Source organism: Homo sapiens, chromosome 6 (assembly GCF_000001405.40).
Source record: "Homo sapiens chromosome 6, GRCh38.p14 Primary Assembly".
NCBI lineage: Eukaryota > Metazoa > Chordata > Mammalia > Primates > Hominidae > Homo > Homo sapiens.
The window spans coordinates 129,558,058-129,574,242 of NC_000006.12; the positions used below are offsets into that span (position 1 = coordinate 129,558,058).

General features: G+C 38.6%; 1 long non-coding RNA gene across 7 annotated transcripts in view; it reads right to left on the bottom strand.

The window, feature by feature from the left end:
• LOC102723409 (uncharacterized) overlaps positions 1–11,509 on the bottom strand; it is a 77,085-nt gene extending 65,576 nt beyond the window's left edge. For 6 of the 7 annotated variants that reach the window (XR_001743860.2, XR_007059765.1, XR_007059754.1 and 3 more), the window contains exon 1: positions 1–11,509. This is a non-coding gene — a long non-coding RNA (uncharacterized LOC102723409). The other variant, XR_007059766.1, reaches the window with a different exon arrangement.
• Between the last annotated feature and the right edge of the window lie 4,676 nt (positions 11,510–16,185).

Below are 16,185 nucleotides of genomic sequence, written 5' to 3' on the forward strand. Positions count from 1 at the left end.
CATCCTTTGAAGGTCATCTGCTACCTTTGCACCCATTCAGAGTTTGTCATTCTTACAGTCCGAAGTCAGATCCCAAAGCATCTTCATTCTGAAATGATCTTATGCTGCCCTAGGAAGGAAAGTTTCTTATTTTTATTAATTTTTATCAACTAAACATGTATCTTAGTCATAACATTTAAAATCTTAGTCATTACATTTCTCTACCTACAGAATTCGTTTTCCTTATTTTCTTCTGTGGGTAGTTTCCTATTAAATGAGTCTGACAGAGCCATAGAAGTTGCACATGTACCAGGATATATTTTGGTGTAAAAGTTTGAGAAATAATTTTAAAATCTCAAACACATCTATCAGTTTCCCTCTACCTCAATTCTTCTTCACTCTCACTCAGGATGATGCAATACTGCTCCATGGTGAATTACCATGGCCATTCTGGTGGGTCAGTGCTCATGCCACATTAGTGATTGAAATTTGACTATCACTCATGTGTCCATAAGTTTATGTGTATACAATCACTTCAAAGAGAATAAAATACCTAGGAATCCAACTTACAAGGGATGTGAAGGACCTCTTGAAGGAGAACTACAAACCACTGCTCAATGAAATAAAAGAGGATACAAACAAATGGAAGAACATTCCATGCCCAGGGGTAGGAAGAATCAATATCGTGAAAATGGCCATACTGCCCAAGGTAATTTATAGATTCAACGCCACCCCCATCAAGCTACCAATGACTTTCTTCACAGAATTGGAAAAAACTACTTTAAAGTTCATATGAAACCAAAAAAGAGCCCACATCGCCAAGTCAATCCTAAGCCAAAAGAACAAAGCTGGAGGCATCATGCTACCTGACTTCAAACTATACTACAAGGCTACAGTAACCAAAACAGCATGGTACTGGTACCAAAACAGAGATATAGATCAATGGAACAGAACAGAGCTCTCAGAAATAATGCCACATATCTACAACCATCTGATCTTTGACAAACCTGACAAAAACAAGAGATGGGGAAAGGATTCCCTATTTAATAAATGGTGCTGGGAAAACTGGCTGGCCATATGTAGAAAGCTGAAACTGGATCCCTTCCTTACACCTTATACAAAAATTAATTCAAGATGGTTAAAGACTTAAATCTTAGACCTAAAACCATAAAAACCCTAGAAGAAAACCTAGGCAATACCATTCAGGACATAGGCATGGGCAAGGACTTCATGTCTAAAACACCAAAAGCAATGGCAACAAAAGCCAAAATTGACAAATGGGATCTAATTAAACTAAAGAGCTTCTGCACAGCAAAGGAAACTATCAGCAGAGTGAACAGGCAACCTACAAAATGGGAGAAAGTATTTGCAACCTACTCATCTGACAAAGGGCTAATATCCAGAATCTACAATGAACTCAAACAAATTTACAAGAAAAAAACAAACAACCCTATCAAAAAGTGGGCAAAGCATATGAACAGACACTTCTCAAAAGAAGATATTTATGCAGCCCAAAAATAGATGAAAAAATGCTCATTATCACTGGCCATCAGCGAAATGCAAATCAAAACCACAATGAGATACCATCTCACACCAGTTAGAATGGCGATCATTAAAAAGTCAGGAAACAACAGGTGCTGGAGAGGATGTGGAGAAATAGGAACACTTTTACACTGTTGGCGGGACTGTAAACTAGTTCAACCATTGTGGAAGTCAGTGTGGCCATTCCTCAGGGATCTAGAACTAGAAATACCATTTGACCCAGCCATCCCATTACTGGGTATATACCCAAAGGATTATAAATCATGCTGCTATAAAGACACATGCACACATATGTTTATTGCGGCACTATTCACAATAGCAAAGACTTGGAACCAACCCAAATGTCCAACAATGATAGACTGGATTAAGTAAATGTGGCACATATACACCATGGAATACTATGCAGCCATAAAAAATGAAGAGTTCATGTCCTTTGTAGGGACATGGATGAAACTGGAAACCATCATTCTCAGCAAACTATCGCAAGGACAAAAAACCATACACCGCATGTTCTCACTCACTGGTGGGAATTGAACAATGAGAACACATGGACACAGGAAGGGGAACATCACACTCTGGGGACTGTTGTGGGGTCGGGGGATGGGGGAGGGATAGCATTAGGAGATATACCTAATGCTAAATGACGAGTTAATGGGTGCAGCACAACAACATGGCACATGTATACATATGTAACAAACCTGCACATTGTGCACATGTACCCTAAAACTTAAAGTATAATAATAATAAAATTAAATTAAAAAAAAAACAAAACAAAAAAACAGAAACAAAAAAATAAATAAAACAAACTTGAATGGAAAAAAAGGTTTATGTGTATATATTTTGACATAAATAGACCATTTTTAAATATCATTTAACTTCTTAGGGAAAAAAAACTGATATGAAATCTCAAGTTAAAAATGGCTAAAAGAAAATTCTATTTGCCTAGTAATTCCTATGCATAAATCAACATGTTCAAGGAGAGGATGAGGATCAACATTATTTGTAACTATACCAACTTTCCAAGGACAAATAGTTCATAATTTCTAAGGAAGCCTTCTATAGTAATCATCTCAGGCTACCATAACAGAATGCCAAATGGATGATTTAAACAACAGAAATTGATCCTCACAGTTGTGGAGACTAGGAAGCATGAGATAAAGGTGCTGGATAATTCAGTTCCTGGTGAGGACTCTTTCCCTGGCTTGCAGACAGCTGCCTTCTTACTTTACCTTTCCTCCTTGATGCATACACATTAAGAAGAAGGGAGATCTCTCTTTCTTCCCATCATAAGGCCACTAATTCATGATGAAATCTTGCATATTAAAAAGAAAAGCCACTAGTCCTAAGAGACCCACCCTTATAACCTCACCTAACCCTAATTATCTCCCAAAGCCCTCATTTCCAAATTAACAAATGAATATTGGGGAAATAAAAACAGTTCATAACACCTTCTTTATTGAATAATAATCTCTCAGCTCAGAAGAACTCTGGAACACCAAGGCAAAAAAAAAAGGCAGCATTATGTTAAAATAAAAACATTTAAAGTCAAATTGGAAGAAATATTTATCATTGTAATAACAATGCTGCTGAGTTTGGTTGACTTATACATTATTTACTGCGGGCCAGGTGCTCTTCTATAACATTTCTATTCTCTATTATACATACTCATTCAATGTGCAAATATGATAAATCTAAGGGTCCTAAATATACAGTTTATATATTTGTTATAGAGTATATATAACTAGTACTGTAACAGAGAAACAAATAATATAAAAAGATATCTCCCCTGGTTTTATGAATTCACTAACAAACATATGAGACATTATTAGCCTCATTAGTTATCCATGAAATGCAAATTAAAACAGCAAAATGTCATTTCTTCACCCATGAAATTAATGAATATTAAAGAAAATGATGGTGAGAAGACATTGAGATTATCACTCAACTGTCATTGATGGAAGTATAAATTAGTATGACTTTCCTAAAAAGCAATTTGACAATATATGCAACAAGAGCTTTACAGATTTTTCTCCTCATCAAGCCAGTAATCATTTTCTGGCATACTTCTCAGAAATTAAAAAATGAATGATTGTAACAGCTGGGTAATAAATCCTTATATAAGTCAGATTGTTTCAAAAAATACAAAGAAGGACCTAATAATTTTGAGACAGAGATCTATGTTTTTTTTTTTTGGCATATAATGAACTTTTTAAAAATTCAAAAAACTGAGTATCTCTGAGTATCACTAAAATAATTGCAATTTACATTTGATTGTGAAAAAGTTTCTTGGTGTCTACACACATATAATTGAGAAAGAGGACTAAATTGATGCTGAATTTATTAGGAATAACATCTATCCAGTGATAACTAAATTTTTTAAAAACTGAAACCCTTTCTCAGAACCTAATTTTCAATAAAACTTAAATGTTTTATTAGCTTTATCAAAATATGTGATATATTTTTGTTTCATCAACAATAACTTCAACATATATACTTATTTTGCTGTAGAGAAACACAATTGCTTTGTATCATTGAATACATTACTTTAGGATAAACTTCTAAGGAAGAAAGTCTAATAAAAATAGGAGTTCAAGGGGAAAAAACGTAGAAGTTCTTGCTATTAATGATGAGCTTCCATGCATTTTTAAAAACAGACAACAGGGTATCAAATCACTATGGTATTGATGTTATTCTTGAAATAATTTAAAGTATTAGAATGTCCTTTGCAATTATTTAAACTTAGGATGAAAAATGTTAGATTTTAATGAAAAAAATATTCAAGATAATACATCCTTGTAATAATCACTTTAGGGGACATGTAAGTGGAAAACTTTGAAGAACATTATTATAGTGTACTTGGTGTATTGTTTGCCATCCAATAATTAGGATTTGGAATCAAAGCCTTCTGTAACACTTGTCCTAAGTCTTGTTTTACAGGGCGTCATATTTTTCAATGCATCTAGTATATGTTCCTTGGGTTTTGCTATATAAATTATAGTAGGCAGAGCAAAACTCTTATTATATGTGGAGTGAGAATCAGGGTAGCAGCTCCCAACCAAGGATATTTTCAAAAAAGCTGCTAATATGGAACAAGCTTTAGTGTCTCAGAGTTATCAGCCCTTCTTTAACACCAGCTCCCAAACACGCTTAATTTAAAATCATTTGATTTAAATGTGGAAAAGTTTCTTCAAGGTAAAAATCATAAAAAGAAAATTTAAATTACTGGTCTTCCTTAAGGACTGGCAAAATTCTTGGAGAAGGAGGCTTTTTCACCTTTAACCCAATTTTCTTCAGAAGTTACTCTGAGTGATCTTTTAGATACTTTAGCACAGTCAGTTTTCTTCAAAAGTTAATCATTGTAATATTTTAGATAAGAGGAACCAAGAAGCTCTTGAATTAACTAAAAATAGAAATACAGATAGTTCAGATATTAGAAATTAGATGTGAAAACTATTTTATGATCAAGTTTCCCTCTGCAAAATATCCAACTGGGGAAAAAAAGCCTTGAGAAACCTTATTCCTCTGCCTTTTCCCCCAACAATCCCAACTAAATTCATAGTTCCCAATTCCTATTTACATGTTGGCTTATGGCAATAGGCATCTGTTCCCATCACTCCAAAATACTCTAGACCTGCTCTCTAGGTCAGCCCTGAACTTATAGACTTCAGCTCCAGTGGTTTCTACTTAACTTTCATCTGGTTCACTTCTCTCAATTATTTGACATAGTTGATCATTTCCTTTTTGTTAAACCTGCTGTCAACCCTGACATCTGTGATTTTTACTCTTCTGACACTACTACTATGGTTTGAACTGTTCCTTCTAAGGTATCTCTCCCTTTATGCATCCTGTAAGTGGAGAAAGGCATTCCTCAAAGTTGTTCTTAGCCCTCTCTTGGCCCTTCGCTCTCAATGGACCATTTGTTTTGCTTCTATGGCTTTAAATATCACCACCCTGCAAAGTATTTTCTAAATATACATTTTCAAAGAAATCTTACCTAAAAGATGTCTCAGTTCTAACTGTTCAGCTTCTTCAACACTGTAAGCTCAACATATCCTCATCTTCTCTCCTTTCACACCCATAATACTTACCCCTCTCTTGCCCCAATCCCTTCATTTCAAATCAGTACTTCTCCCAGTTCTGGGAGTCAGTGAAAAGCACCATCATCTTCTAAACGTCTTTAAACTCCGCTCCCTCACTTCTCTCCATCCAATGGAATCATCAAATCCTTTTGACCTCATTCTGCAACATCTGTCTGCCCCGTTCTCACTTTTCACTGCCACAACCCTAATTCTGAGCCTCATCATTTCTGACCTGATCTAGTCTTCAATATTCTAACTGCACTTCCAGCTTAAGTACCACTATCTCCATTAACAATTACCCAACTAACAGTGTCCTTTCTCTATCTTCCCATTACATTTTACCCATACAATCAGTTGTACCCATATTCTGCTTCCCTCAAATCAAAGCCCATTTGCTAGGGATACATTCCCCATTAATCCTATTCACAAATCTAAATCCAATCTCCTTGTGGAAATGCACATACAATTGATTTTTACATCATCGCAACCTAACTTGTGGTATAGCACATAGCAGGCACTAAAATGCTAAGAAAAACAAATGGATAGCCATTTTTCTTTCAGAAAATTTAGAGTATTCCTTATCAAAATAACATTGTCTAATGAACTCGGTATACTTTGATGTATTATCTAGTTACACCTAACAGTTTCTTAAGAATAAAGAATCTTAATTCCTTTTTTTTTTGTATTTTTAATTTTTTTTGAGACTAAGTTTCACTCTTGTCGCCCAGACTGGAGTGCAATGGTGCAGTCTCGGCTCACTGCAACTTCCGCCTCCCAGGTTCAAGCAATTCTCCTGCCTCAGCCTCCCAAGTAGCTGGGATTACAGGTGCACACCACTATGCCCAGCTAATTTTTGTATTTTTAGTAGAGATGGGGTTTCACCATATTGGCCAGGTTGGTCTTGAACTCCTGACCTCCAGCGATCTACCCACCTCAGCCTTCCAAAGTGCTGAGATTACAGGCATGAGCCACCATGCCCGGCTCCTTCCCTCTTCTTAATATCATAATTAGCATGAGGATGAATGAAGCACGTCCTAGAACATGTTTCAGGATTCTTCGACAAGTGGAGATGCACAATCTCTTATTTAATTCTTCATGTTCTCAGTAAAACTCCTTTTGTTTTTTCCAAATATTTGACAAAAAAGTAACAAATATAAGAAGTCATGTTTACTTGCCAACATAATTTTAGTCTCCCTGATTCTGTTACTAAGTATGGATCTCCAAAATAATGCCTTAAAGACATAAACAAGATAGGGCACACAGCTCCCCACATCTCTTGCCTAAGACATTACATTCCTTAAAAAATAAATGAACTTGGTCCTTACCTGTTCTTACACATAAAATCATGCCTGCCAAAATCAACAATTATGCCCCCGCAAACTATAACCAAATATACTCTTAGGCCCAAATTTTAATATAATTTTATACATGCTGGATCTTCACTCCCTACATAAAAACTATAATTTAAGCTGCATTAAAAAAGTCTAACAAAACGTATCTCTAGACAATTTTTCCAAAATATAATCCTCAATAAGACTCTAAATAAATTTTAATTCTTTAAACATCTAGTATTTGTTTAGTCAACAATACAAACTGGGTGATACAAGCAACCAAAGCTAAGACACCCCAAGATTTTCCCCATTGAAATGAGAGTTGTGAAGGCACAAGTAATGATTAAATCACTCCCTTTTTGTGATTGTAACAAAGCTACACTCAGGTGAAAGAAAAATGTAACTGATTGACTGCTCAGAATTGGGCCACTGTCTGTGACTCTCCTTACGAACTTCCCTCCAGGGGAAATTCCTTGTTCACTTTGGCCCTTGCTGGAGGGGAAGGTGACTTGCAGCAGAGATTACACGAAAGCTGTTATTTTGTAAAGGTTACAGGAGATGCAACAAGAGGCAGCGCTGAGCTACCCAGGTGCAGCGAGAGGAGAACATCAAAAGAGGAGTAAAGATAGCACAGAGTGGAGCTGCTTTCTCTGTAGCTTATCTGAGCTCCTTCAGTTGAGAAATCAAGACTTGCAATCTCAAGATAAAAAGCTTGCTTGTGACAAAGCCAGTGTTTCTTGACTAAGTTGGAAGTACCATAGAAGCAGTTTTTCTTGCAACCAATCTATTTCTCTATACAGTATGCAGCTACATGTGAAAATAACTCATGAAACTCTTCCAAGAAACCTTAAGGACTTGAAGAAATGCTTGTATGGAAGGAGGGGGTTCTAATGTTTCATCTGGAATCCTTTCTACCAGAGCCAACCGACTGCATACACAACTTTAGGACACAAGTGAAAAAGAGAAGCTGGATGCCAAGTCCAGATTCCAAGATATGAGGCCAAGTGAAATGGGAGGGAAATTATTATTGCCACTTAATATGTATTAAATACAACATTTGAGAGATCACAGACCCAGAAACACCAGGGCAAGGAATTGGAACTTCTGCCAGCAGGAGCAGCTAACGCCAACTGAAAGAGCCCAGGATTGTCCCAAGAGTGAACAATGTATCAAGACAGAAAATGAACTGGATAAGAGTTTTACTTCCTAGACCTTCTGGTCTGAAATGCAGGGAGAGAACTCTGTCTTTATGCCAGTTTATTTAACTTAAATGAAACAAATAATATTCAAAGTTGAGCTGAGCTCACAGAAGTAGAAAAAAGATGTTCTCACAAAATTATTTCTATGCCCTACAGTGGCACCGATACTCCAAGGAAGAGTTACTAGCACTGATTTCCAGGTGAGATAGTGTGGCACTGGAACCAGAACTCCAAATGAGATCAAGAGGGACATTCCATAAATATCCAGTAAATGACTCCTAACTTGGGGAAAGGAATGTTCATGGGGGATGCTATCAGAATTACCCTTCAAGGGAGGGCTGGTTATTTCTAAATATAGGTGCTGCCCACTCTTCCACCATTCTCTCATCTGTTTATTAGGATCTATTACTGATAGGTCTGTTACATCTTTTCTCTGTATTGATGAGAAAAATAGAATATGGCAGAATTTTATATATATATGTATATATATATATATATATATATTTTTTTAGACGGAGTCTCACTCTGTTGCCAGGCTAGACTGCACTGGTGCCATCTCAGCTCACTGCAACCTCCAACTCCCTGGTTCAAGCAATTCTCCTGCCTCAGCCCCCTGAGTGGCTGGGATTACAGGCACACACCACCACGCTCAGCTACTTTTTGTATTTTTAGTAGAGACGGGGTTTCACCATGTTGGCCAGGATGGTCTTGATCTCCTGACCTTGTGATCCGCCCACGTTGGCCTCCCAAAGTGCTGGGATTAAAGGCGTGAGCCACTGCGCCGGGCCTAGAATAATATGTTTTAAAATTATTAAGGTACAGCTCTGATAATATTGAGCATAATAACAAGTAATAAAAATACATTTATCAAATCCCATCAGGCAAGTATGCTGCTGAGCCCTTTGTATGGTTGTTTAATTCTAGTAAGCTGCTAAGAATATTCCTATTATTATCTTTATCCAAAGTATAAAATGAGGCCCAGGTAAGTAACTTGTCCAAGATCACATTCGTTAATCCAGGTAGTCTGGCTCCAGTATCCATATCATCTCTTCTCAAAATATTACTTAAATTTGAAAAAAAAAATGCTTAAAATTAAAAAAACTCTTTTGCCCAGCATCAAAGGCCCTATGTAAAGCACTTCCAACTCTTTCTTCTGCTAGTGCCTTATTTGCTCCCTTGTGTGTAGGAGAGCTCCTTATAAGTGCTGTCCATACTCACAGTCCCCAATTCTCATTCTCTTAACCCCGCTATAAGCATCCTTATCACTTTACCAAAACTGGTAAGTCTACTAAGGTCTACTAAGACCTCCACATAGGTAAAGCCAGTGGTTAACTTCTGCCCTTTAACTCATTTGAACTATAAGTAGTATCTGATACTACAATCACGCCCCCTGCAGTTGGCTTCTGGGACACCACTGTCTCTCAGTTATCTATAAGGTTACTTATTTTCAACGTCTTTGCTAGTTCTTTCTTTTCTAACCACTAATGTTGGGTAGCTCCAGGACCGAGTTCTCGGTAACTTTATTTATTATACCCAGACTCACTCCCTTGGTGATCTCATGCAAGGTCATGGTTTAAAAGTCCATATGCATGCTGATGAATCCAGCCCAGACTTCTCTCCTTAATGCCTGCTCATGTAACTGCCTACAAAATATTGCCACTTGGATATCTAACAGGCACTTCAAATCCCATACATCCATGACTGAACTCCTGAATCCCTGCTAACAGTACCTGATTTACCTCCACTTCCCTATTTCTCTTGTTGGAAAATCCATCCTTGCAATGGCTCAAGTCAAAAGTCTTATGGTTATCCTTGATTAAAAATCCTCTCGTATCAGAAAAAATCCTACAGGCTCTACCTTCAAAAATATATCTAGAATCTGGGTACTTATCACTCCACAGTTACTGCCCTCACCAACAGTGCCCTGTTTCACTCTCAGAAATGTCCTGATTTGAACAATAATCGCCCTAACACAAAGCCCTCCATGATCTCACTCCCCATGATTGTGTTACTTCTCTGCCCTGCCCTGTTACTATCACCGGCCCTGAGTCCACTCCAGCCACACAACCTTTGGTAACAGGCACATATCTGCTTTGCACCTTTGTTCTAGTTGTTTTCTTTGCATAGAATATTCTTCCAGGTATCTACATGGCAAGTTCCTTGAAGACTTGCTTCCAGTCTTTGCTTAGTTGTTAATTATTCAACGAGACTTCTTGTGGAATGCTGCAATGACCCTATCCCTCCACATCTTGTCCTATTTGCTCTGCTCATCTTTTTTGTCTCCATTGTACTTACCACCTTTCAATATGCTATAGAATTTTATTTGCTCATTAATATTTCATTATCAGTCTCCCTCCACTAGAATGTAAGGGCTTTTTGTTACTTTGTTCACTGATGCATCTCAAGGGTAGAACATGTCTGGCATATATGTAGGTGCCCAATAAATATTTGTTGAATGAACACATATACACTAAAAAGTCACAGTTCACAGTGGCTGGCAAGGTGGCCAAATAGGAACAGCTCCTGTCTGCAGCTCCCAGCAAGATCGGCATAGAAGGCAGGTGATTTCTGCATTTTCAACTGAGGTACCCTACTCATCTCATTGGGACTGGTTAGACAGTGGTACAGCCCATGGAGGCTGAGCTGAAGCAGGGTGAGGCGTTGCCTCACCCAGGAAGTGTAAGGGGTCAGGGAACTCCCTCCCCTAGCCAAGGTAAGCTGTGAGGGACTGTGCCGTGAGGAACAGTGCATTCCGGCCCAGATACTATGCTTTTCCCAGGGTCTCCACAACCCACAGACCAGGAGATTCCCTCAGGTGCCTACACCACCAGGGACCTGGGTTTCAAGCACAAAACCGGGCGGCTATTTGGGCAGACACCGAGCTAGCTGCAGTTTTTTTTTTTTCCGTACCCCAGTGATGCCTGGAACGCCAGTAAGACAGAACCGTTCATTCACCTGGAAAGGGGGCTGAAGCCAGGGAGCCAAGTGTTCTAGCTCAGTGGATTTCACCCCCACAAAGCCCAGCAAGCTAAGATTCAGTGGCTTGAAATTCTTGCTGCCAGAACAGCAGTCTGAAGTCGACCTGGGAGGCTCGAGCTTGGTGGGAGGAGGGGAGTCTGCCATTTCTGAGGCTTGAGTAGGCTGTTTTCCCCTTACAGTGTATACAAAGCTGCTGGGAAGTTCTAACTGGGTGAAGCCCACCACAGCTCGGCAAAGCCACCGTAGCCAGCCTACCTCTCTAGATTCCTCCTCTCTGGGCTGGGCATCTCTGACAGAAAGGCAGTAGCCCTATAAAACTCCCACCCCCATGGGACAGAGCACCTGGGGGAAGGGGCAGCTGTGGGCGCAGCTTCAGCAGACTTAAACATTCCTGCCTGCCAGCTCTGGAGAGAGCAGTGGATCTCCCAGCACAGCACTCTAGCTCTGCTAAGGGACAGACTGCCTCCTCAAGTGGGTCCCTGACTCCTGTGCCTCTTGACTGGGAGACACCTCCCAGCAGGGGTTGACAGACACCTCATACAAGAGAGCTCTGGCTGGCATCTGGTGGGTGCCCCTCTGGGATGAAGCTTCCAGAAGAAGGAACAGGCAGCAATCTCTGCTGTTCTGTAGCCTCTTCTGGTGACACCCAGGCAAACAGGGTCTGGAATGGACCTCCAGAAAACAGCAGCAGACCTGCAGCAGAGGGGCCTGACTGCTGGAAGGAAAACTAACAAACAGAAAGGAACAGCTTCATCAACATCAACAAAAAGGACGTTCACACAAAAACCCCATCCGAAGGCCACCAACATCAAAGACAAAAGGTAGATAAATCCACAAGGATGAGAAAAAAACAGCACAAAAGGGCTGAAAATTCCAAAAACCAGAACACCTCTTTTCCTCCAAAGGATCACAACTCCTCACAAACAAGGGAACAAAACTGGATGGAGAATGAGTTTGATGAATTGACAGAAGTAGGCTTCAGAAGGTGGGTAATCACAAACTCCTCCAATCTAAAGGAGCATGTCTTAACCCCACGCAAGGAAGCGAGAACCTTGAAAAAAAGTTAGAGGAATTGCTAACTAGAATAACGAACTTAAAGAAGAACATAAATGACCTGACGGAGCTGAAAAACACAGCACAAGAACTTCATGAAGCATACACAAGTATCAATAGCAGAATCGATCAAGTGGAAGAAAGGATATCAGAGATTGAAGATCAACTTAATGAAATAAAGAGTGAAGACAAGATTAGAGAAAAAAAGGATGAAAAGGAACAAACAAAGCCTCTAAGAAATATGGGACTATGTGAAAAGACCAAAAAGAAAACCTACATTTGACTGGTATACCTGAAAGGGACAGGGAGAATGGAACCAAGTTGGAAAACACAGTTCAAGATATTATCCAGCAGAACTTCCCCAGCCTAGCAAGGCAGGCCAACATTCAAATTCAGAAAATACAGAGAACGCCATGAAGATACTCCTCAAGAAGAGCAACCCAGAACACATAATTGTCAGACTCACCAGGGTTGAAATGAAGGAAAAATCTTAAGGGCAGCCAGAGAGAAAGGTCGGGTTACCCTCAAAGGGAAGCCCATCAGACTAACAGCAGATCTCTCTGCAGAAAACATACAAGCCAGAAGAGAGTGGGTGCCAATATTCAACATTATTAAAGGAAAGAATTTTCAACCCAGAATTTCATATCCAGCCAAACTAAGCTTCATAAGCGAAGGAGAAATAAAACCCTTTACAGACGAATAAATGCTGAGAGAGTTTGTCACCACCAGGCCTGCCTTACAAGAGCTCCTGAATATGGAAAGGAAAAACTGGTACCAGCCACTGCAAAACATACCAAATTTTAATGACCATTGACACTATGAAGAAACTGCATCAATGAATGGGCAGAATAATCAGCTATCATCATAATGGCAGGATCAAATTCATACATAACAATATTAACCTTAAATGTAAATGGGCTAAATTCCCCAATTAAAAGACACAGACTGGCAAATTGGATAAAGAGTCAAAACCCATCAGTGTGCTGTATTCAGGAGACCCATCGCACATGCAAAGACACACACAGGCTCAAAATAAAGGGATGGAGGAATATTTACCAAGCAAATAGAAAGCAAAAAAAAAAAAAAAAAAAAAAGCAGGGGTTGCAATCCTAGTCTCTGACAAAACGAACCAACGAGGATTTAAATAAATGCAAAGAAGGGCATTACATAACAGTAAAGGGATCAATTCAACAAGAAGAGCTAACCATCCTAAATATATATGTACACAATACAGGACCACCCAGATTCATAAAGCAAGTTCTTAGATACCTACCAATAGACTTAGACTCTAACACAATAATAGTGGGATACTTTAACACCCCACTGTCAATATTAGATCAATGAGACAGAAAATTAACAAGGATATTCAGGACTTGAACTCAGCTCTGGACCAAGTGGACCTAATAGACATCTACAGAGCTCTCCACCCTAAATCAACAGAATATACATTCTTCTCAGCACATTGCACTTATTCTAAAATTGACCACATAATTGGAAGTAAGACCCTTCTCAGCAAATGCAAAATAACTGAAATCATAACCAATAGTCTCTCAGACTACAGTGCAATCAAATTAGAACTCAGGATTAAGAAACTCACTCAAAACCACACAACTACATGGAAACTGAACAATCTGCTCCTGAATGACTACTGGGCAAATAACGAAATTAAAGCAGAAATAAGTAAGTTATTTGAAATCAATGAGAACAATGACACAACACACCAGAATCTCTGGGACACAGCTAAAGCAGTGTTTAGAGGGAAATTTATAGCACTAAATGCCCACTGGAGAAAACAGGAGAAATCTAAAATCGACACCCTACCATCACAATTAAAAGAACTAGAGAAGCAAGAGCAAACAAAATTCAAAAGCTAGCAGAAGACAAGAAATAACTAAGATCAGAGCAGAACTGAAAGAGATAGAGACATGAAAAACCCTTCAAAAATCAATGAATCCAGGAGCTGTTTTTTTTTTTGAAAAGATTAACAAAATAGATAGACCACTAGCCAGACTACTAAAGAAAAAAGAAGAATCAAATAGACACAATAAAAAATGATGAAGGGGATATCACCACTGATTCCACAGAAATACAAACTACCATCAGAGAATACTGTAAACACCTCCACACAAATAAACTAGAAAATCTAGAAGAAATGGATAAATTCCTGGACACATGCACCCTCCCAAGACTAAACCAGGAAGAAGTCGAATCCCTGAATAGACCAATAACAAGTTCTGAAATTGACACAGTAATTAATAGGCTACCAACCAAAAAAAGCTCAGTACCAGATGGATTCACAGCCAAATTCTACAAGAGCTAAAAAGAGGAGCTGGTACTATTCCTTCTGAAACTATTCCAAACAATAGAAAAAGAGGGACTCCTCCCTAACTCATTTTATGAGGCTAGCATCATCCTAATACCAAAACCTGGCAGAGACACAACAACAAAATAAAATTTCAGGCCAATACCCTGATGAACATCGATGTGAAAGTCCTCAATAAAATACTGGCAAACTGAATCCAGCAGCACATCAAAAAGCTTATCCACCACGATCAAGTTGGCTTCATCCCTGGGATGCAAGTCTGCTTCAACATCCACAAATCAATAAACATAATCCATCACATAAACAGAACCAATGACAAAATCCACATGATTATCACAATAGATTCAGAAAAGGCCTTTGATAAAATTCAGCACACCTTCATGCTAAAAACTCTCAATAAACTAGGTATTGATGGAACATATCTCAAAATAATAAGAGCCATTTATGAGAAACCCACAGCCAATATCATATTGAATAGGCAAAAGCTGGAAGCATTCCCTTTGAAAACCAGCATAAGACAAGGATGTCCTCTCTCATCACCCTATTCAACATAATATTGGAAGTTCTGGCCAGGGCAATCAGGCAAGAGAAAGAAATAAAGCGTATTTAAATAGGAAGAGAGGAAGTCAAATTGTCTCTGTTTGCAGATGACATGATTGTATATTTAGAAAACCCCATCATCTCAGCCCAAAATATCCTTAAGCTGATAAGCAACTTCAACAAAGTCTCAGGATACAAAATCAGTGTGCAAAAATCACAAGCATTCCTATACACCAATAATAGACAAACAGAGAGCCAAATCATGAGTGAACTCCCATTCACAATTGCTATAAACAGAATAAAATACCTAGGAATACAACTTACAAGGGATATGAAGGACCTCATCAAGGACAACTACAAACCACTGCTCACAGAAATAAGAGAGGACACAAACAAATGGAAAAACATCCCATGCTCACGGATAGGAAGAATCAATATCGTGAAAATGGCCATACTGCCCAAAGTAATTTATAGATTCAATGCTATCCCCATCAAGCTATCATTGACTTTCTTCACAGAATTGGAAAAAAATAATTTAAATTTCATATGAAACCAACAAAGAGCGCGTATAGCCAAGACAATCCTAAGCAAAAAGAACAAAGCTGGAGACGTCATGCTACCTGACTTCAAACTGTACTACAAGTCTACAGTAACCAAAACAGCATGGTACTGGTACCAAAACAGATATATAGACCAATGAAACAGAACAGAGGCATCAGAAATAACGCCACACATCTACAACCATCTGATCTTTGACAAACCTGACAAAAACAAGCAATGGGGAAAGGGTTCCTTATTTAATAGCGTTGGGAAAACTGGCTAGCCATATGCAGAAAACTGAAACTGGACGCCTACCTTACACCTTATACAAAAATTAACTCGATGGATTAAAGACTTAAATATAAGATCTAAAACCATAAAAACTGTAGAGGAAAGCCTAGGAAATACCATTTAGGACATAGGCATGGGTGAAGACTTCATGACTAAAACACCAAAAGCAATGGCAATAAAAGCCAAAATGGACAAATGGGATCTAATTAAACTAAAGAGCTTCTGCACAGCAAAAGAAACTACCATCAGAGTAAACAGACAACCTACAGAATGGGAGAAAATTTTTGCAGTCTATCCATCTGACAAAGGGCTAACATCCAGAATCTTCA